At 42.1% G+C, this 21,574-nt stretch overlaps 1 protein-coding gene across 3 annotated transcripts in view; it reads right to left on the bottom strand.

The window, feature by feature from the left end:
- The window catches only part of ARFGEF3 (ARFGEF family member 3), a 182,725-nt gene that overhangs the window by 34,930 nt on the left and 126,221 nt on the right, over positions 1 to 21,574 (bottom strand). For all 3 annotated transcript variants that reach the window (XR_001743524.2, NM_020340.5, XM_047419108.1), the window contains 7 exons: positions 19,766 to 19,916; positions 17,681 to 18,001; positions 15,608 to 15,741; positions 12,779 to 12,924; positions 10,949 to 11,128; positions 2,337 to 2,481; positions 873 to 995 (listed from right to left, as the gene is read on the bottom strand). Coding sequence is in view for 2 of the 3 variants with exons in the window: in NM_020340.5 (NP_065073.3) it covers positions 873 to 995; positions 2,337 to 2,481; positions 10,949 to 11,128; positions 12,779 to 12,924; positions 15,608 to 15,741; positions 17,681 to 18,001; positions 19,766 to 19,916 (1,200 nt within the window). In the remaining variant the exon portion in view is untranslated. The remainder of the gene's footprint in view (positions 1 to 872; positions 996 to 2,336; positions 2,482 to 10,948; positions 11,129 to 12,778; positions 12,925 to 15,607; positions 15,742 to 17,680; positions 18,002 to 19,765; positions 19,917 to 21,574) is intronic.

Here is a 21,574-nt window from a genome sequence, read left to right as displayed (position 1 = left end):
TAAGAGTTACACCATCAGTGCCCCTCATTCTGAGGCCTTTGAACTTGAACTGAGCCATGTTATCGGCTTCCTTGGTTTTCCAGCTTGCAGATGGTCTATCGTGGGACTTCTCAGCCTCCATAATTGTAGGAATGTTCTAAGATTTCCAACCTTAGATTAGTCAATATTATATTAAATAATTGCCCTTATGCAGAAACCTATTCTCAGTGTCATATGATTAGCAGCTTGAGTTTGATTTCCCAACTTTTTAGCAAAAGTTAAGAATTCCTCCTACCCCAGGCTTAATTAATTATAAAATATATTTTCTAAGTATAGAAGTCCCCCTTCTTGAAAGCCTCGTGTATTTCAGAAACTACCCAGATGATTTTATACTTAATTTAGAAACACCTTAACAAAATATATTCTCACTATACAACATGACCTGCAATAGGAGATTTTTATATAGCACAGGTTTATGTAGGGTGAAATGAAAGGGAAGGACACTTAGTTAAACCAAAAGGTTTAGAAGAAACTTAAAATTTTGAGAGTTTCCATAGAGTGTGATTAGACCTGGAGCCCGAGAACCTTTTACAAAGGGAAAATACAAGGTTGATATTATTCTTTGACAATAAAGTTAGTATAAAATAATAAATAAATAGATTAAAAATATGCTATAAGATATTCCATGAATACAATGAAAAGTATCAACCTTACACAAAATTCAAGCTTCTTTCACAGTAAGTTTTTGCTTTTGAGTACACAACACCACCATCTGCTTGTACCCCAGGATGCGTGCTTGTTCCAGACAGTCAGTAGGCCCTGTCTCCAGCCACAGAGCCACCCTGGAAAGGGTCCTCAGCAGTTACAAGGCATGAGAGAAGGGTTCTGCTTACCCAGTCCTTTGACAAACTTCATAAGGCACATGATGTAGCTAGTGGCTGCATTAGCAAAGACCTGGATGTTGTCAGTATTGAGAAAAGCTTCAAATACATCAAACACTGGAGCTTGGCCTTTTCCTAAGGGAGGAAGATTATAGAATTGTAAGAAAGTAAGTTTCTGCCCTCGGGTTTGCCAGGGTTGCCCATATTCCCAGCACGTTCCACTGAGACAGATCTTGAGAAAGATCTACTGGGGAGATGCCTGGGTTTTTTATTGGGCCATTGGCTTGGCTCCAGCATGGTGCTCAGCTCTGCCGGCAGGGGAGCAGCTCGGCAGAGAGATGAGGGCTGAGCTGGCCGAGTGCAGAGCTGAGGCAATGTGCTGGTCTATAGAGCAGGGAACCATGTGGCCTCTGGAATGCTCCTGCACAGGTATTTGTAGATTATCTACAGGGCACAGCAGGGCAGGTTTAGATAGACCTTTGGTGGCATATATGAGTTTCTTTATATCTATGCAGAAAAAGAGCACAGAAGGCCTGAGACCACTTTTCTTTTAGAAAGCTTGCTTGCAAAATTGGCCTTTGGCGGGTGTCTGGGAACTCAGCTCTCAGAGTACTCCCAGGCCACAGTTAACTGATAAGAGTAGTTCACCGTGCCTAGACTGTTCATACAAACCATACGGTTTATGGTGAACACCTGCTTTCCTGTTGGGAGTCTGGGATTTTGGTAATGTGCTAGGCAAAGGGTATGTAAGTGGCCAGTCCCCAGCTAGATCTCTAATGGGCTTCAACAGGCAGAAACATTGCAAACATGTTGCTGTGTTTTCACTGCTGGGGGAAGAATGTCTTCTGTGTGATCCCTCCTGGGAGGGCGAGAGCACAGGGAAGCTGGTGCATAGATTCTTCCAGACTCTGTCTGTGTCATAACCTGTTGTGTCCTTCCTACGTTGCTAAAACTTAGTCACGAGCTGTGTAATAAATCTCAACATAACTATATGCTGGGTCCCATGAGTCTTTCTGGTGGGTTTCTGAGTTTAGGGGTGGTCTTGGGAACCTCTGAGACAACACCCCTGGGCCCTGGGCATGCTTTATGGGTACCCATCCATTTCCAGCAGACCGAATCTCCCTAATTCTGGTTACTCTGTGTTATGATACTTTTCTGCTTCTTACTAGCAAATGGATAACATTTTTCTTTTTGGCTTTAGACGTGAACTCAACACAGCAATGTGTAAGTGAAACAACAGAAGTCTCTCAGCCTTATTGTCCAATTGTCAGCAAGAACAGGGCCTGACAATGCTCAGGGCTCTCAGCCTGCTGGCAGAACTCAGGACTCATGTTCCTGCTACACCACATTCTTTCCTGCTGATAAAACATGGCTGACAATCTGTCTTCCCTATTGTTCAATTTTTTTTTTTTAATAGCATGAAACTTGGCACAGAGAATTAATGCTGAATAGCAAGAATCATCCAAACATTCTTACCCATGGAGTAGTCACCAACCAGGTACTCCTTCATCTCTGACTTGTTCCCGCCATGCACTGTTTCCAGGGCACTGAACAAGGGTCTCCATCCCGACTGGATCTGCGTGGAACACACTTCAACCAGCTCACCAATGGATGTGACAACCTGGTAGAGGCAAAGCAAGTGGCACTTAAAGCCCTCTCCTTAAAAGGAGCAGAATTTCTGGGAAGGGTGATGTATTTCTCTGTCCCCTATTTTGGAGTTAATTTTAGTGAAAAGGAAAAACCAGAATAGACAAACTCACTCAAAAATCTTCTGAATAATCAGCCGTATTGTATTAATTTGCATTTCACTAATGACTAATGCTGCAAAGCAACTTTTCACATCTTATTAGCCAAATATTTTGTTGTTTTTAAAAATTGGGTTCATGTCTTCTTGTTATTTTCTTTTTTTTTTTTTTTTTTAGAGTTCCTTATATATTCCCAAGATATAATTTGCAAATATTTTTCCACAGCTTTGGACTTTTTAAAAGTTTTACTTTTTAATGGTGTCTTTTCAAGATTAAAAGTTCTTAATTTTGGTGAAGTCCATTTCATCCATTTTTCTTTTAATGGATCACATCATGACCCATTTTGAATTTTTTTTTTAGCATGGTGAGAGGTAAAGGTGTAAGTTTATTTTTATCATATACATTCAAGCACAATTTGCTGAAAATATCCCCTCCCATGATTGAATTGCAATGGTATCTTCATCAAAAATCAATTGATTATAAACAGGATAATTTATTTCTATATTCTTCAGTTCCACTGAACTATAGGTCTGCCTTCAAACCAATACCACACTGTGTTTATTACTGGAATTTTGAAATCAGGTAGTGTAAATTTTCAAAATTTGTCCTTCTTTTTCAAGTTTGTTTTCTCTATTCTGTTCTTTGCAGTTTCATATAAATTTGAGAATCACTTTGATGATCTCTTCAAAAAGGTCTGCTTGGATTTTAATTGGAATTGCGCTGAATCTATACATCAATTTGGGGAGATTTGCTATTTTAAAAATATTGAGTCTTTCAATCCATGAATATGGCATATCTCATATTTATTTGAATCTTCTTTAATTTCTCTCAGCAATGTTTTGTAGCTTTTGTGTACAGGTCTTGAGCTTCTTTTGCTAAATTTACTCATAAATATTTTATCATATTTGATGTTATGAATGGAATTGTTCTTATTTATCTTTGGATAATTTATTTCTCATATATATAAATTCAGTTGATTTTAGTATGTTGATCTTGAATGCAGTGACCTTGCTCGACTAGAATTTTTTTGCAAATCCCATATAATGTTCTATATACAACCCTATGTTGTCTGTGAACTAAAACAGCTTTACTTTTCGTTTCAAACCTTGATGTCTTTAATTTCTTTATACAATGAGCAAAAGTTAATGTTGAGCAGAAATAGAGAAGACAGAAATCCTCATCTTATTACTGATTACAAGAGAAAAACACTGTCTTTCATCATTAAGTGTGATGTTAGATGTAGGATTCTCAAAGATGCCCCTTATCTCATGGAGGAAATCCCTCTAATTCCTCTTTTCTTAAAAGGTTTTGTCAAAAATGGGTGATGAATTTTGTTAAATGTTTTGTCTATATCTATTAAGATGATTGCGTGGTTTTAATCTTTTAGTCTACTAATTGTTAATTGATTTTGAGCTGTTAAACCACTCTTACATTGCTGGGATAAATTCCATATGCCACAATGTTTAATCTTCTTTATATGTTACTGGGTTTATTTGGCTTTTTTTTTTTTTTTTTTGAGACAGGGTCTCACTCTGTTGTCCAGGCTGGAATGTAGTGGCATGTGATCACGGCTCACTGCAGTCTCAACTTACTGGGTTCAAGGAATCTTCCCACCTCAGCCTCCTAAGCAGCTGGGACTACAGGCATGCATCACCACACCCAGCTATATGTATATATATACTTTTTTTTTGTAGAGATGGGGGTCTCACTGTGTTGCCTGGCATGGTCTCGAACTCCTAGACTCAAGCAAACCTTCTGCTGTGGCCTCCCAAAATTCTGGGATTACAGGTGTAAGCCACTGTGCCTGGCCAATAATTTTTAAAGGATTTTTTTTTTTTGTCTAATTTCATAAAGAATATTGGTCTATAGTTTTCCTTCTTGAGACTTTGGTATCACAGAAACGCAGGCCCCATAAAATGGGTTTGGAGGTGTTCCTTCCTGCTTTATTTTCTGGTAGAGCTTGAGTAGGGTTGATATTATTTCATCCTTAGTTTATAGATCCACCAGTGAAACCAACAGGGCTTGGGTTATTGTGGGAAGGTTTTTTTTTTTTTTAATTTATGAAACTTTGCTTTATTCAATTTGTTAAACAAGAACTGATTTAATTATTGCCCCCGCCATAACAGTCATGGAAAACATGTCACCTGTTTGAAAGAACAATACTATTAGTTGCAAAATTTAATTGTAAGGATCAAGCAGAGATTATTGGTCTAACCAATCCACATTGACAGCTTTGAAGTGTTCAGATGCTAGTTTTAAAATAAAGGTGACAAATACTAATCACATTCTCATATTACTGTTCAGGATCTACATAAGCTTGGTTCTGGAAATAGTTCAATACACAAAGGTATGAGAATAACACTGTAATCACCGGTGATCAAACCAAAGGTGTAATTTCACAAATCACTTATAGTAAGAATCAATTCTAACATTTTAAAAGTCTAAACCTACATAAAACTCAAAGCAATATATTTTTCTACTTGAGACCAAAATAAGTTTCCTTTTTCCTGTCTAAGCATAATTCTTTAAGATGAATCTGAATTCACGTGATATACCTTGTCAAACTTTTCCAAAGAATTTTAAGCGCTGCTTTAGAGACAAATTCTTACATTATGTATACATACATTTTTCTTTTACATATTTTTTCTTCAAAGACTAATGACAAGTTTATGAGGTTAATAGGCCTTTAATGTGCAAACATCACCACAATCTAATTTAAAAATAATTTTACTTACCCCCTCAAAAAACGCAGTACCCATTTGTAGTCATTGCCTACTCCACCACCCCACCCTCAGCCTGAGGCAACCACTAATGTACTTTTTGTCACTATAGATTTTCCTATTCTGACATTTCATATAAATGTAGTCATATAACATATGGTCTTTGGTGACTGGCTTTTCTCATTTAATGTAATGTTTTCAAGATTCATCCATGTCGTACATATATCAGTACTTCATTTTTATTGCAGAATAATATTTCATTCTGTGGACATAACCTAATTTAATGTATATATTCATTAGCTGTTGGAATCTGAGTTGTTTCTAACTTTCTGGCTATTATGAATAATGTTACTATGAACATTTGTGTACAGGATTTGTATAGATGTTTTCATTTCTCTCGGTTATATACCCCTTGAGGAACTGTCAGCCTGCAAAGCAGCCACACATTTTACCCTCTCACCAGTAGGGCATGAAGGTTCCAATGTCTCCACCTCCTCCCTCACCAACACTTGCTATTATCTTTTTTTTTTTTTTTTTTTTTTTTTTTTGAGACGGAGTCTCACTCTGTCTCCAGGCTGGGGCGCAATGGCACGATCTTGGCTCACTGCAACCTCTGCCTCCCAGATTCAAGTGATTCTCCTACCTCAGCTTCCCGAGTAGCTGGGACTACAGGTCTAGTCCTGGGTTCAAGTGATTCTCCTACCTCAGCTTCCCGAGTAGCTGGGACTACAGCGTGCGCCACCACACGCAGCTAATTTTTGTAATTTTAGTAGAGACAGGGTTTCACCATGTTAGCCAGGATGGTCTCCATCTCTTGACCTCGTGATCTGCCTGCCTTGGCCTCCCAAAGTGCTGGGATTACAGGAGTGAGCCACTGTGCCTGGCCGCTATTATCTATCTTTTTTATCCTAGTAGATGTGAAATAGTATCTCACGTGGTTTTGATTTACATATTCCTAATGACTAATGATGCTGACCATCCTTTCATTAGTGCATATTTAATGCCATTATTGACATGGTTCTATTTACATCTGGCATTTGCTATATGTTTTCTGCATATTTACATATCACATCCTTTTTGTTCCTCTGTTCCTCTTTTACTACCTTCTTTTATGTTAAACACATTTTTTTTGTGATCACTTTCATTCATGTTTATTTTTTAATCTTTTTGTGTTATTCTCTTGGTTGCTGCCCTAGGGATTATAACATGAATCTTCAATTGATCACATTTGTACCTCAAGTTAATACTGAGCTAATTCTGGCAAAATACAGCAACTTTGCTTCTATATAGCTCCATTTCCCATCCCTCCTTTCTGCTAATGTTATTTATATTACATCTTCATGTTTAATAAATCCAGCAATACAGTGTTAGAGTTATTGCTTTAAACGTTAGGTTTTTGAAATAAATTAGGAGAAAGGGAAAAATGCACACACTGTTTTATATTTTCCCACTTATGTACCATTTCTTCTTATGCAATAGATTTACCAGTCTGTGTTATTTCTTTCAGCTTAAAGGAATTTAGTATTTCTTGTAGAACAGGTCTACTGGCAAGATATTCTCCAAATTTGTGTTTATCTGAGAATGTTTTTATGTCATCTTCATTTTTGAAGAGTAATTTCTCTAGGATTATCCATTGACAGTTTTTCTTCCAGCACTTTAAATATGTCATTACATTGTCTTCTAGCCTTCATTCTTTCTGAAGAAGTCAGCATTAGTTAATCCTAGCATTAATCCTAGCATTAGTTCCTCTGTAGTAATGTAGTCTTTCTCTTGCAGCTTTTAAGGTTTTGTCATTGTCATCGAGCATTTTGACTATAACGTGTCTATTGTAGATATCTTTGTGTTGATCTTAATTGGGGTTCCACTATTTCTTTAAATATATTTTCCCATCTGTTTGTCTTTCTCTTTTCTACCTGGGACTCCCATTACAGGTATGTTGGTATGCTTGACATTGTTCTACAAATCTCTGAGGCTTTGTTTATTTTTGGTCAAACTTAGTTTTGTCTGATCTTCAGAATAGATAATCTCTATTAATCTATTTCCATGTTCACTGATCTTTCTTCTGCCATCTCTTTCTGGTAAGCCCGTATAGCTAATTTTTCATTTCAGTTATTGCCCTTCTCAACTCTAAAATTTACATTTTTATAGCTCCCATTTCTATATTTAGAGTCCTTATTTTTGAGTCATTGTCATATTTTCCCTTAATTTTTTCGAACATATTTAATAGCTACTTTGAAGGCTCTGGCTCCCAAATACATCTGGGCTTACTCTTAAGTCAGTTTCTAGTCACTGTTTTTTCCTCTGTGTTTCACTGTTTCCTGTTTCTTTGCATCACTCATATTTTTGAGAATTAGACATTTTAGATAATATATTGTAGCAGTGCTGGATTCTAATTTATTTTTGAGGGTTTTTTTCCCCCCAGACTAAGGTGCTTGGAATTCCACAGACTAAGTCTATGGAATCTGTCTCTTCCCATGGCGCTCATGTGTCTGCTCAGTTTTTGTTCTTCATTTTTATTTTTTAGCCTGACTCCCTAGTGTTCATCCTCATGTCTGCATAGCTTAGTAGTCAGCTGATCATGTGGGTGGAAACTATGCTCAAACACCTTGAGTCTTTAAGGTTCCTACCCTCTGGCAATCAATCTGTGTGAGAAGGTTGGCCAGAATATTCAAAGTTCAGCCAGTTTTTATCTCCCTTTTATTTTCTGATGAGATCTTTACAATCTCCCCTGTACATGCCCATGTTTCAGTCATCCAGGGATGTGTGAACAGACTATCTGGTCCCTCTATGAATCTCTGATATCCAGGATCTTATGTTAGATTTCTTGCTAGTACACTACTCACTACAAACTTTAGGCAAGCAAGATTGAGGATTCCCCTGTTCATTTCTCCATGAATTCATCACTTGTAATTGACAAGCCAATGGTCTTCTCCCCACTCTTCTCCATACCAAGTCTGTCCCTGATGGTAGAAAAGCTGATGATTGTCTCAGTCAGCCTCACGCTGGTCAAACTACTATTCTTGCCAATAGAGCTTGGGAGTAAAGGTGATGGCTTCAGTCTTTGTCAAGGAAGTCAGACTCCCACTATTCTTAACCAAAGTTCTAGCAAACACTGTTTTTAAGAATAAATGCTACTCAATTTGTTGTCTGCTTTTGGTCAATTTCCAGACCCCTCAGATGGTTGCTTTGGACAATTTTGTCCTGTCCTGTTTTATGCTTGATTTTTGCGGGGAAGGTTAACCTAACTTCTTCATGTTACCATAGCCAAAGCTGCTTCTGTCCTTAAGCTTCCTAAACACATTTAAGCACTGTTATTTTAAAATCTGTCTCTGATAACTCTGATATCTGGGTTCCTGTGTGTGTTTATTGTTTGTTTTTTAAACTTTTGTTTTCAATGACATGTTATTTCCTAATGAGCCTGGTTATTTTTTATTGAATGCAAACGTTGCACCTGCAAATCAAGAAATAATTTGAAGATTATTAATAGAATGATGTAATCTTCTGTCAGAAAGGCACTAGAAATCTCAGATTACCTTAATCTCATGTCAGGGATTGGGATTATTTGAAGTTGGGTTTATTTTCTCTTATGACTAATCTATTTAAGGTTCACCTTTCTTTCTAAGATGTCCCTTTTGCCTCAAGATCCTGACTCAAGATGCGAGGAAGTTACCAGACTTGGGAGGTCCCAGACTGCAATTTTGCTGAGCTTCCCCGTCTTTTATTATGTTGGTGCAAAAGTAATTGCGGTTTTTGCTGTGATGGCAAAAATCACAATTACTTTTACACCAACCCAATATCTTCCTTTTTTTAAATTAGTAGATTCTATTTTTAGGAAAAACAGCCTCAAATACCAGGAAGACTACTCTGGGTATTCTTTTTCTCCCAGATCTTGGCCTTGTAGTTCTTCACTGCCCTATAGTATGTCAGTGTCTTCGAGTGATTAAAATTTTTTTTATCCAACTTTTTTTAGTTGTTCCCTGTGAGAAAGTTGATCTGAATTACCTAGTTCACTCTTATTGGTATAAAGTCTTAGGTGTTAACCTATCTAGGTTAACTTATCTTAGATGTTAATGATCTAACGTTTAGGTGTTAACTTCTAGGTGTTAACTATCTAGGAGATAACTATAGGTGTTACCTAGGTGTTAACTTATCTTAAGTGTTAACAATCTAGTCTTTAGGTGTTAACTTATAATTTCAATCCTTTATTTCCTTAAACTTACTAGGCTTTGTGATTTAATATTTTGCATGGAAGATACCAATATTTCAATCCAATTCTTTATAGTTCTAGTTGTACTATCTGTTGTTTTATCAGTTCTCTCCGTTGCCTTGTTTTCTTGTGTGTTTTGTGACTTTTTTAAAAATACTGAGAGCTCACGTACCTTGAAACTTTATTTGTGGGATTCTTTTGTAGCCTGAGTTGACATGAGTTTCTCTCGGGGGAGTTTTGTTGCTTCTGTATGGTGCCTGTGTATTTTCTCAGATCCTGAGGTGGTGTAATTTCATATACAGATCACATAAAAGGGCTAGGTTGTAATAATAAATCCTGGAGTGCTCTTTTTAAAAAACTTTCCATTAAGAGCCAATGTTAGAAACAAGCTGATAGTATCCTCAGGAAGTTTGTTTTAATTCAACCTTGGCCTGATTGAACACCAGCTTTGTAAAGTTTGCGTTGAGATTTGTTTTCTGTTTCTGTGCACTCACGTCTGGGATGACCAGAACTTCTGCTCCACTTGCTAGCAAATTCCCTCGCGGGAAAACCAGCCTAAGGGCTCCGCTTACTTCTCTGGCTTCCCATTGGCACTCAGTTTTGGGGCTTCCTTACTTTCTTGCCAGTGTGTCAAGGTATTTAAAAGAAATGTTTAAACCTCTATTCAACGTTTTTGGTGGACTTCAGAGAGAGAGATCCTGTATTTCTAGCCCACCATCGTGTGAAATACGAAGTCTCCAGTTAGTTTCTTTACCTTGCCTTCAGTAGACAGTATGGCAGCAGTTAGGAATATAGGCCAGGTATAAAGAGATAGGCCAGCAGATTGCCTAGGTTCAAAGCCCAGCTCCACCAATCACTGATTATGTATCCTTAGTCAAATTGCTAAACTTTTCTGTTTTTTTTTTAATTGCCTAGTTTCAAATCCCAGCTCCACCAATCACTGATTATGTGTCTAGTCAAATTGCTTAACTTTTCTGTTTTTTTTTTTTTTTTTTTTTTTTTTACAGAGTCTCGCTCTGTCACTCAGGCTGGAGTGCAGTGGCGTGATTGATCTGGGCTCACTGCAACCTCTGCCTCCCTGGTTCAAGCGATTCTCCTGCCTTAGCCTCCTGAGTAGCTGGGGTTACAGGCGTGCAACACCACACCTGGCTAACTTTTGTATTTTTAGTAGAGACGGGGTTTCACCATGTTGGTCAGGCTGGCCTTGAACTCCTGACCTCGTGATCCGCCCACCTTGGCCTCCCAAAGTGCTGGGATTACAGGTGTGAGCCACCACGCCCAGCCCTGCTTAACTTCTCCGTTACAGATTCCACATAGGATTATTGGAAAGAGTAAGTGTGCGAAGCTCATAGAACCGTGCCTGCCACTGCACTCAGTAAGAGCCAGCTATGACGCTGATGACCATGTCACACTGACCTGGTCTTGGACGTCCTCATCACACAATTCCAGCTGCATAATGCGCTCGAAAGGTCGGAAGAGTGCTTCATTGAAGTGAAAATGAGGTGGCTCATTCCAGTCAGTGAGGACTTCTGTCAGTATGTCATGGATGAAGGAAACAGCCTTCTGAGACACATGTCTTTCCTTATGGCAAGCAGCCTGCAAAATTCACGAGAGAGTGGCTCACCATCAGGACAGCAGACAGTGAGAATGGTTTCTGAAGGCTTTCCTACCCCACCTCATTACAAGGAGGTGGAAGCAGCAATTCTGTTAAAATCAAAACATTCTAAGGGATAAGTCTAAACAAACTGCATACTAAATTGCATTTTTAACAATTCAACCAGCTTATCAGGTACAACCTCAATTTCATGTTAATGTTTCTAGAAAAAGGAAAGTTTCCGGTAATTTCTTTTTCTGTAACATGACAGTTTTCTTGAATGGTACAGAACATGCTCACTGTAAAGACACCAGAACCCAGTCTAGGAATGGCTCACAGTTTCATCTGAGCTGTGCCCCACATGTAGGAAGATCAGATGAGTCATTTGTCCCTCAGTGAGGTGAGGGACAAATTGCCACAGTAGCTCTAATTGGTTTACAGACCTCCTGGTATCCATGCTCTTGAGTAATCCTTTCCTGTACTGGCCCTGGGCTTGGATGTGTGAGTTGCTTTGGCCAGTGGAACACAAGCAAACATCATGTAAGAACAGAATTAAAAAGTACTTGTGATTTGGGGTTTGCCCTGTTGTTGCTCTTTGGAACCCTAAGAATGCCACGTGAACAAGCTGGGGCTGGTCTGCTGGAGTCTAGTCTACATGAGAGACCATGAAAAGAGAGACCTATTTGTCTAGCCTTCCCAGTTAAGGTCATCATGAACCATCTGGCCCCAGACTTTGCACCAGCTGACCATAGATACACAATTAAAGCCAGTGAGATCTGCCACCCCTGGCCAACACCAGAACTACCCAGAGAAGCCTACCTCAAATTTCTGACTCATGGAATCATGAGCTAAATAAATGGTTGTTGTTTTAAGCCACTAGATGTTGGGGAGGCCTTATTGTAGAGTAAAAGATAACTGATAGACTTTTTCCCCATGACTACATTGCTATTTTCTACCCATTTTGCTTACTAGAATGTTCTCAGGTTAGTAATTTAAGTTCCAAGAAATATTTTATGATTTATCTCTACCAGATAAAAGCAAAAGGGCTATTAAGAATAGTTATCACTGCAAAGCAGGGCAACAGTTTTCCCTGTCAACTTGGAAGTGGCCAGTCCTCATGTATTGAGATGCTTAGATGTAGAGCTGCCATAAAACTGATCACACGAACTGCTTTCCTTTGGAGAGTGAAAGGGTCTTAGTATTAATTTTGTTGGGAAAACCAAGACATAGGGTTCCCTGACTGAAAGGACACTGTCCTGAGTATATTTAGCTATTAGAAAACAGGGACTGGTAGGAACCAAAGACATTGTTATATTTATGTATAAAAATAAAGCTATTAGGAACCATCCACAGTCTTTCTGTTCCAGGCTCAGGTTGATACCAGATCATAAAAATGAAAACTAGCTGAGCTGTACAATTGCAAAGAAAGAGGGTCAGAGTGAGACTAGGGTAGTACTGCCCTTTGGGGTGATTCTTTAGATGCCATGAGGTATAACCAGAAAACAGTGATGTTTGTGACCAGGTGATAGGCAAGTTCCCACTGCCCAATGGCCACAGTGCTTTGCCCCCATACATGACTGCAGGCCCCCATGCTGGCTCTGCTGGTCACTGACTTAGCAGTTCCAGCCTCTTCCCACCTTCCCAGTGCTCACCTCCACCAGGTGTGGGGCCACAAGGCTCCAGCAGCGCATCACGTGGAGCAGGGGCCGTGCTTTGCTCCGCACAATCCTCAGCATGGCATTCCCCAGGCGGAACAGGTGGAGGGCGCTTTTTCGGTCTTGAGTGGATTTAACTTCTCCTACAGGAAGGCAAGAACATAAATGCCAGAAAGCCAAAACTCAGACATAGTCTGACCTATTCAAGCAAAGAGAGAGGTTGAAAATCTAGGTAGGACCAGTAGGGTAATTCGATATTGGCTAACCAAGGGAGGAGGGAGCCCTGGATTCAAGAAGGATGTGGTGGTTCACTTAGCAAGGCCTGCATCGTCCTCTCACTCACCACTGTAGCCCCGGTACCTGGGACGTGACAGGTATGATCAAAACTTGATGATAAGAGGGAATGAGGTAGCGGTTCAGTAGGAGGGCCGAGAAGTCCGACCGTCTGGATTCGAATCCTGGCACCATTTAGTAGTTGTGTTATACTGGGCCAAAGATTTTCCTCTTTAATGATCTCATCTGTAAACCTGGGGATAATACTGCCCACTCCTAAAATTGCTTTAAAGATTAAACGTGATAATACGCATAAAGTGCTCAGCATGGGCCCAGCACATAGTAACTGACCAACATTTTTAGCTATTATTATTACTCTTGTTACTGTCACCTTTCACTGTCATCATCTACTTTGCCAATCCTTAATAAACCTCTGCAGCCTTTGCCAAGCAGGCCTGGTCCCCCTGCTGCTCAGTAACATGCTGTCTGGCCTTCTCTGTCTTGTTTTAGTACCATCCTTGCCTACCCTGATCTTGGGCTACTTCTTTGCCAAGAGGGCGGGGCTCTCTTGGTGCCCTAATCTTGAACTAGGGTGAGAAACTATGGGGGGCGGGGTTTGCCACCTTCTTGGCAAAGAAGGTGACAACCTTCATCTTCCCCGCTCTCTCCCTGCTCATGTCCTATTGCCTCTCCTCTGCTTCCTACTGGGGATGTGACCCAAGTCTAAACACAAAATTCATTTCTGTTTCATATATACCTTTACACACAGCCTGAAGGCAATTTTTGTACCCCTTGGGGACCCTCAATAAACTGTGTTGCATGCCTGCATTTCCAGTGTGACCTATCACATGAGGTCAGGTGTGGAACTTTCCACTTGTGGCATCATGCCAGTGCTTAAAAAGTTTTGGATTTTGGATTTTTGGATTAGGGATACTCAACCTGTAATAATCATGGATGTTTACCCTGCATCAGACACTGTGTTGGTTCTGTAAGTCTTTAATAACTTTAATTTTTAAAGCAATTATATTTTCTTTCTTTCTTTTTTTTTTTTTGAGGGAGTCTCACTCTGTCGCCCAGGCTGGAGTGCAGTGGTGCAATCTCAGCTCACTGCAACCTCCACCTCCCGGGTTCAAGCAATTCTCCTGTCTCAGCCTCCCGAGTAGCTGGGGCTACAGGCACATGCCATGACACCCGGCTAATTTTTTTTTTTTTTTGCATTTTTAGTAGAGACAGGGTTTCACCATATTGGTCAGGCTTGTCTCGAACTCCTGACCTCAGGTGATCTGCCCGCCTCGGCCTCCTAAAGTGCTGGGATTATAGGCATGAGCTGCCACACCTGGCCTATATTTTCTTTTAAGAAGAAAATATAATTATTGCTATTTTACAGAGTAGAAAATTGAATGTCTGAAAGGTGATATGACTTGCCTCAGATGCTGTGGCTGGTGAGTGTTGGAGGCTGCATTTTATATTCCTACCTGATTGATTCCGAAGTAAGTCTCCCTCTTTCTAGATTTACCGACCCTTCCTGGCCCCTGCTCATTGTGTTCTTTGTAAGCTCAGAGTCTACTGTTTTCTCCAATGCGAAAGACTTTGAAGGTTACCCCCAGGCTCAGAGATTCTCTGAAAGTCTTATGGGCCTGGGAGGTTGGCTTTATATAGCTCAGGTTTTAAAGTCTATTAAAAACTAGTGGGGAAACAACTGTGGTTCTCAAATCTAAATCTGCAGCAAGGGTGAAAAAATCAAATATACTACACTTAGAACTTTAGATTCCTAAGGATAGAAGGGACCTCAGAGGTTATGCAGTCCAACATGTCACTAAGGTGCATCCCCAGCACATGGCTCCCGGTCTCTGCCTGAACTCATCTGGGACAAGGTGCTCACTGTTTCAGGACAACCACTTGTGCTCTTGATGAACAATTCCATCTATGAGCAACCTGCCAATGCTTTGGGACCCTTGGACAATTCAGAACAACTCTACTTTGTCTTCCACAAGACTGGCCTTCAAGAGGGCCTTATTTCTTCACCTGGCCTCATTGGAGACAACAGGGATACTGACCCATCATTAATGGGATATGCCTCTGAGATCAGTTTTGCAAGAGTGGTAGGCAGTTTCCTCTTTCACCACCCCTTTTGGAATTAGTGGTTGCTTCTGCATATCACAAACCACCTCTGTCCCACTGGCTGGACAGAGGTGTGTGGTGTGGTTTGTGATACGCAGAAAAGCTCCACCCTCATGTGAAGGAAGCTATCTGCACCCTAAGGAGCCACACAATTTCTACCACAAGCACAAAACTTAGCAGAACAACCTAGTCCAGCTCCAGTGGGAGTTCTTATAGATGTGGTAGCAGCAACGTTTCCATTCACAAAGAGTTACACCACCCCTCACACAGGATGCCTCAAAATCTGGAGACAAATCTATACTTGGGCTTAGCTTGTGTGAGTGTAAGCAATGGGAATGTGGAGTCAAATCTTCAGGCACGCTGCTGGTGATAGAGGCCTGGGCTGTTTCCTGCTAACTTCCTGGCATATGGTTTATTCAGGGAAAGAATTACCTGGCATTGCCAGAGAGTAATCAACTGTATCTGTAACAGAATGGAAAAGCTGAGACTGCGATGCTTTCTTCAGCTGGTAAAGAAAACCTCCCAAGGCCATGAGGTTCAACTTATCCGTAGCATCTTCAAAGAGCCTGGATGCAAACAGAAAGAGATGTGTTCTTTGGAAACAATTCAGCAAGGTCTTTATGGCAGAATGATTATGGTAATTTTGTTGATGTGATTAATGGAAATGCTGTGTAAACACTGTAGACAAATGTATGGTATTATTCTATCTATTCTAACTGTGTACAAGTCTGCTCTAACTGTGAGATTTTAATTCAAAGGCACAAAGAATATATTTAAAAATATCTTTGTGCCCTCATGGTCTAGCTCCGCTATGGTAGGCACTCATAAAATGCTTGGCAAGAAGCTGAAAGATGGCAAGGCGTTGTTCCCAGAAACTGAGTAACTGGGAATGGAATCTTCAGAATTAGCTTCAATTTCATAAATGATGTCAAAAAACCCCAGTAAATTAATGAATAAGGTTTTGTTTGTCTATAATTTATGAGTATAATGCTGGAAAAGATACAAAAACAGCTAAGAGTAGATCCTGTAAGCCCCCCTCCAGGGCGGGGACTGGCCTCATACACACCCAAAGGCCTGGATGTGATGGGAACTCAAGTATCTATTTGGAAGAAAGAATGTTCCCCAATATGATGGGTCTTACAGGTTCTTTTTCTTTCCCACTCAGCTGGGCACAGACCTTGCCAGCAGAAGGATTTAGGAAGGCGGGGAGCACAGTAGCAGAATTTAGGGGAGGATTTGAAGGTCACGGGAATGAAGAATGGTAAAGATCAAATATCTGTTTTATGAGGCCACAACGAGCAATGTGCCAGGTGAGCCTTCCATGGCTCTTGGGTCACCCTGCTATCTGCCCTCCAAGCCTAGTGACACCGCAGGGCAAACAGTGCTGTGGGGGCACCATGAGCTGCTTCAGGGAGAGGGTCTCTAATAGAAATGGAATCATGAGTCCTTCTTGAAAGAGGAAAATGAGACACGCAAGTTTTAAGATGGGAATTAGCGGATTAAACATTTATAAATTATTGAAACAAATATATTTTTCTTGCTATTTTGTAACTTCCAATTTTGATACCATTTGGTTTCTGGGTCCTATTGACCATTTCTCCTCCCTCCTTCCTAGTAAGAAAACAGTGATGAATATTATATTCCACCTGACACCTGTATATTACTTTCCAGATTCTAAAACATTTTCACAGCCAACTTGGATAAGCAGCAAAAAGCAATTATGGTAGTGGGTTAGTAGTTGGAGAAATTGAGCCTCAGTGCAGCTATGTCTACAGACATGACCCGGCAGCTGGGGAGTGCAAAGTCAGGACAGGAACTCAGGTCAATCTGAGTCCTGGCCCAGGGAGTGCTCCTCCCACTCCTGTCCCCTTCCTGACGGTCCTCCCTGTGCCCGTGCCGGGGGTCTGGGACACAGTGACCAAACACTGAAGAGGTAAGTGAGGTGGAACTGTGTGTGATTGGTGACCAAAAGCACTTTCAACCTCAGGAAGTACCACCAAACAGTTGAGGCGATTGGTGATTTTCCCTCTTCACCCTCGCATGGTTGTTGGGCATCAATAAGTAACACATGCATGTGGGATTTTTGAAAACAGCCATAATCATAATAGAGGATTTTTACCATTTTCCAAGCTCCGCTCCAGGTGCATCAAGTTACTAATTAATTTACCCTCACAACTACACGGTGACAGAATTACTTTTAAAAAATGACCCTATTTTACCAATGGAGAAGCCAGGCAGGGCCCAGGGAGGTGAGGTTGCCTGAGATCCCAGAGTAAGCGCAGCGCTTTGACCCCAGGTGGCCTACCTCAGACCCTCCAGTGTTAGTAGAAAACGTTTCATTCCAAGTATGGATGTAATGGTAGAGAGAACTAAGCTTGAAAAAGATGGAAGAGATTTAAGTGATTGGCTAACAAATGGGTCGTCCCTGGCATGACTGAAACCAGATGGATGTGGGTGTCGCCTGGTAAGCAGGCTCCCGGGGCGTGGGAGGCCGGCGCCGCGCACCTGTCGGCTTGCGTGGAGAGGGTGAGCACCACCTTGGCCGCGCTGCTCCCGCTCATGAGGCTCCCGCCGCGGAAGTCGGAGGCCCGACCCCGGCTGCCTTCCCGGACGAGGTCCTGGATGGACAGGGGCTGGACGACAGGGGCCGTGCTCAGGGAGCGCCCCTGCTCCGGGCTGTGCTCGGGGGGCGAGCCCTCACACTCGGGGTCCCCAAGGAGGCCAGCGCTTCCAGTGGCCTTCTGGGGCTGGCTGATGGTCAGAGGGGGCTGCGAGGCACCATCGCTGAAGTGGTTGTGCTCCAGGGTGCCCACGTATTCACACACCCTAGAAAGAGCACAGACAAGCAGCTGTTAGGCGCTGCAGCTCACCCCGGCAGCTCCATAAACCCCACAGTGCCAGACAAAGGAAATGCAGCCAGCTCTGCAAGCTCCCCAGCTTTCCTCTTTCCTGTGATGACAGTCAGTCCTTCCCTCCTGTGTTCTCATGTCACACAGCATTATTATTAGTAGTATTTGAGTTGGACCAGACAGCCTTGAAATGGGTAAAGGATTATTTGGGTTCTCCCACCCCAGGCTGGGAGAAAGACGGGCAATGAAGCCCAGTTCATCCAGTCCCCCTGCCTCATCCGGCTTACTGGCTTATCTGCCCTCCTGCTGTTTGAGCCATTTTTCCCCAGGCACCCTCTTTCCCTCCATATAGTGCTCTGATTAGGAGTTGGGAAGCGTTTCCCTACGATGGGATCCCAGAATGGCTATACCTATGACGGAGAGGCCAACTAGCCACAGTGGGTTCTGCCCAGCCACGTCCTGCCTGGTCCCGACGGCGCCACATAACTCAAGTCTGGGTGGGGTGGGTGGCGGCCGGGTGGGAGGGCAGTCACCGAATTATGGCAGACACAGAGAAGGGTCACCACATGTGCTACAACTGCCAACTCCTAAATGGTTTGTTCCCAACAGAACCTGGGACGAAGATGGTTCGCAAGGTCCCTCATCTCGGAGTAAGTCTGTTTACTGGTAAAGAGCATCATGGATAATCCACTCTGATGTTCTAGAATCAAGGAATTTTTCAATCCCTTACCCGCTGCTTGTGTACCAGGAGAGCCTTTTTATTTTCTTTTTTCTTTTCTTTTCTTGTTAGAGCAATAAAGAGCAGCAGGTCAGCAGCCTTCATAATAGAACCATTTTGCTCAACAAACACTCATGGCTATATTTGCTTTGAAGACGTGAAACTGAACCCAGCTCTGGCTGGTGCCCTGGGCCATTGGCCATTGCCCTGGCCACTCTTGCCCCATGCCTGCTCTGCCTAGACCTGGGTTTGGAGTGAGTGTGAGGCATGTGCTGCAGAGAAGGAGAAGGAACAGTGTGGCCAGCCCCCGCCCTGTTCCATGGGCAGTGCTCCTTCCACGGTACTGGGTCTGTCCTGATGCAATGCTTGGGGAGACGTGCTTTCAGTCTTAGTTGTAAGAGGACTTGGACTCTGGAGCTATTGCTGGTTTTCATCTTACAGGCACTGTGCACTATATAACTCACTGGGAGTTTCTTTTCACTTTGATGCTACAATGCTTAGAGCTAAATTTTTGGCCTGTCTTTGGCAGAGGTGTACGATTTTTTGTTTTGTTTTGTTTTGTTTCAGTCTAGCTAAATTAAAAGTAGGTATCTTGTATTTTATGTATGCAAATAAGCTATCTGAAATCCTTCTTTAAGTAAAGAGGACATTGATAAACATATAGCAATGTAATATTGAGGAGACATGACCAGTTTTAGATTTGCACAGTATTCACTTAGTCATCTCAATCAATTATTTAATTGGTTTTTCTTCCTTCCTTCTCTCATAAAAATGTCAATAGAAAAGTCACAATTCCTCAGACCCAGTTCTGTCCCCTGTTCTTCAAAACATACATTCAGTTGGGCCCTTATTCCCTCTTCTCTTTTCACGTCTCATTTGAAGTTTAATCAAACTCTGTGAATTGTTATAATTGATTTACATGCTGGCAGGCTCTTAAGGCCACCCCTCTCCACCTGCCACAGCCCACTCCAGGTTTCCCAAGGCAGGGTTAGTGCCATCTGGGGGTGGGAGCCCGTCATGCACCTGAACACGTGTGGCCAGCAGTCCGGGTTGTGGCTTCCCATCTCCAGGCCTACGCTGAGGATGGCCTCCATGCACAAGACGTGGGCAGTGTGCAGCCACACCCCCTGCACCTTCCCAATCTGCTCCAGTTTCTGCTCCACTTTTAGTTTCACTGTGCCAGAAAGACATTTATTAAAATAACAGGTTGAGTAAGGGAGACAGAAAGAATGAAAATGAAAGAATGTGTGTCATGCAAGGGCAAAAGGGAAAGGACAGACTTCAGTGGCAGCAAGCACCTCCACAGTAGGTCCTTGCGGACCATCATGCAAACCACCCAGCCAGCAGGTCCCACGTGCTGGTGGCCCCAGCTCTCCAGCTCCAGAAGTGGGATGGATCCTGAGCTGGCAGGTGCCATTCCTTCCAGGCCCTTTCATGGGCTCTGGGTCAGGCACAGCAGTGTGGATGGGTTTCATGAGCCAATTCCAGCTAAAACCATCTGGGCCCAGACCTTTCACCCTTCCCAAAAATTGGTCAAATGGAAGAATTCCTGGCTTTCTGCAAGTTTTCTCTGAGATTATTGTAATGTTAGGCTCTCATTATGATCATCATCTCTAAAACAACTTATTTACGTATATTTTGAGCACCAGAATGACTGCTCTATCACTGAAAATGACCAATTTCATTTCATCCCTTGAGTTTGTATTTGTGAGCTCCAAATAATACTTTAAAAAATTGTAGCCTGGGTGTGGTGGCTCACATCTGTAATCCCAGCACATTGGGAGGCCAAGGCAGGTGGATCACCAGAGGTTGGGAGTTCGAGACCAGCCTGAACAACATGGAGAAACTCTGTCTCTACTGAAAATACAAAATTAGCCGGGCATGGTGGCACATGCCTGTAATCCCAGCTACTCAGGAGGCTGGGGCAGGAGAATAGCTTGAACCTGGGAGGCGGAGATTGCAGTAAGCCGAGATGGTGCCATTGCTCTCCAGCCTGGGCAACAAGAGTGAAACTCGGTCTCAAAAGAAAAAAAAAATTGTAGATGACTAATGAGAAAGAATGCAGAAGGTGACTTCAGATGTCAGTAATGCAAAATGCTAAGGCAAGGCCAAACCACAGTGTCCTCCTTGAACAAAGGTTTCAAGTCATTGCATGTGGTAGGATAACTAAGTGATGGTCCAGAACCCAGAAATATAGCAAGCCAACCTCAAAGGAATCCAAACCATCTCCTAATGTAAGGAGCAAAGTGATTTTTAGCAAAACATCATTTGTCTCATAAATGTGATACTAATTTTATTTATTTATTTGAGATGGTGTCTCACTCTGTTACCCAGGCTGGAGTGCAGTGGCTTCATCTTGGTTCACTGCAACCTCTCCCAGGTTCAAGCAATTGTCCTGCCTCAGCCTCTGAAGTAGCTGGGATTACAGGCACCCACCACCACGCCCAGCTAATTTTTGTATTTTTTAGTAGAGACGGGGTTTCTTTCACCATGTTGGCCAGGCTGGTCTCAAACTCCTGACCTCAAATGATCCGCCCACCTTAGCCTCCCAAAGTGCTGGGATTACAAGTGTAAGCCACTGCGCCTGGCTGTTTTATCTATTTTTTTGAGATAGGGTCTCACTCTGTCACCCAGGCTAGAGTGCAATGGAATGATTATTGCTCACTGCAGCCTGAACCTCCCCAGGCTCAGGTGATCCTCCCACCTCAGCCTCCCGAGTAGCTGGGACTACAGGCACATGCCACCATGCCTGGCTAATTTCTGTATTTTTAGTAGAGACAGGGTTTTGCTATGTTGCCCAGGCTGGTCTTGAACTCCTGGGCTCAAGTGATC

Source organism: Homo sapiens, chromosome 6 (genome assembly GCF_000001405.40).
Source record: "Homo sapiens chromosome 6, GRCh38.p14 Primary Assembly".
Classification (NCBI taxonomy): domain Eukaryota; kingdom Metazoa; phylum Chordata; class Mammalia; order Primates; family Hominidae; genus Homo; species Homo sapiens.
The sequence above is the reverse complement of the archived record's forward strand: the minus strand, read 5'-3'. Positions and strand labels throughout refer to the sequence as shown.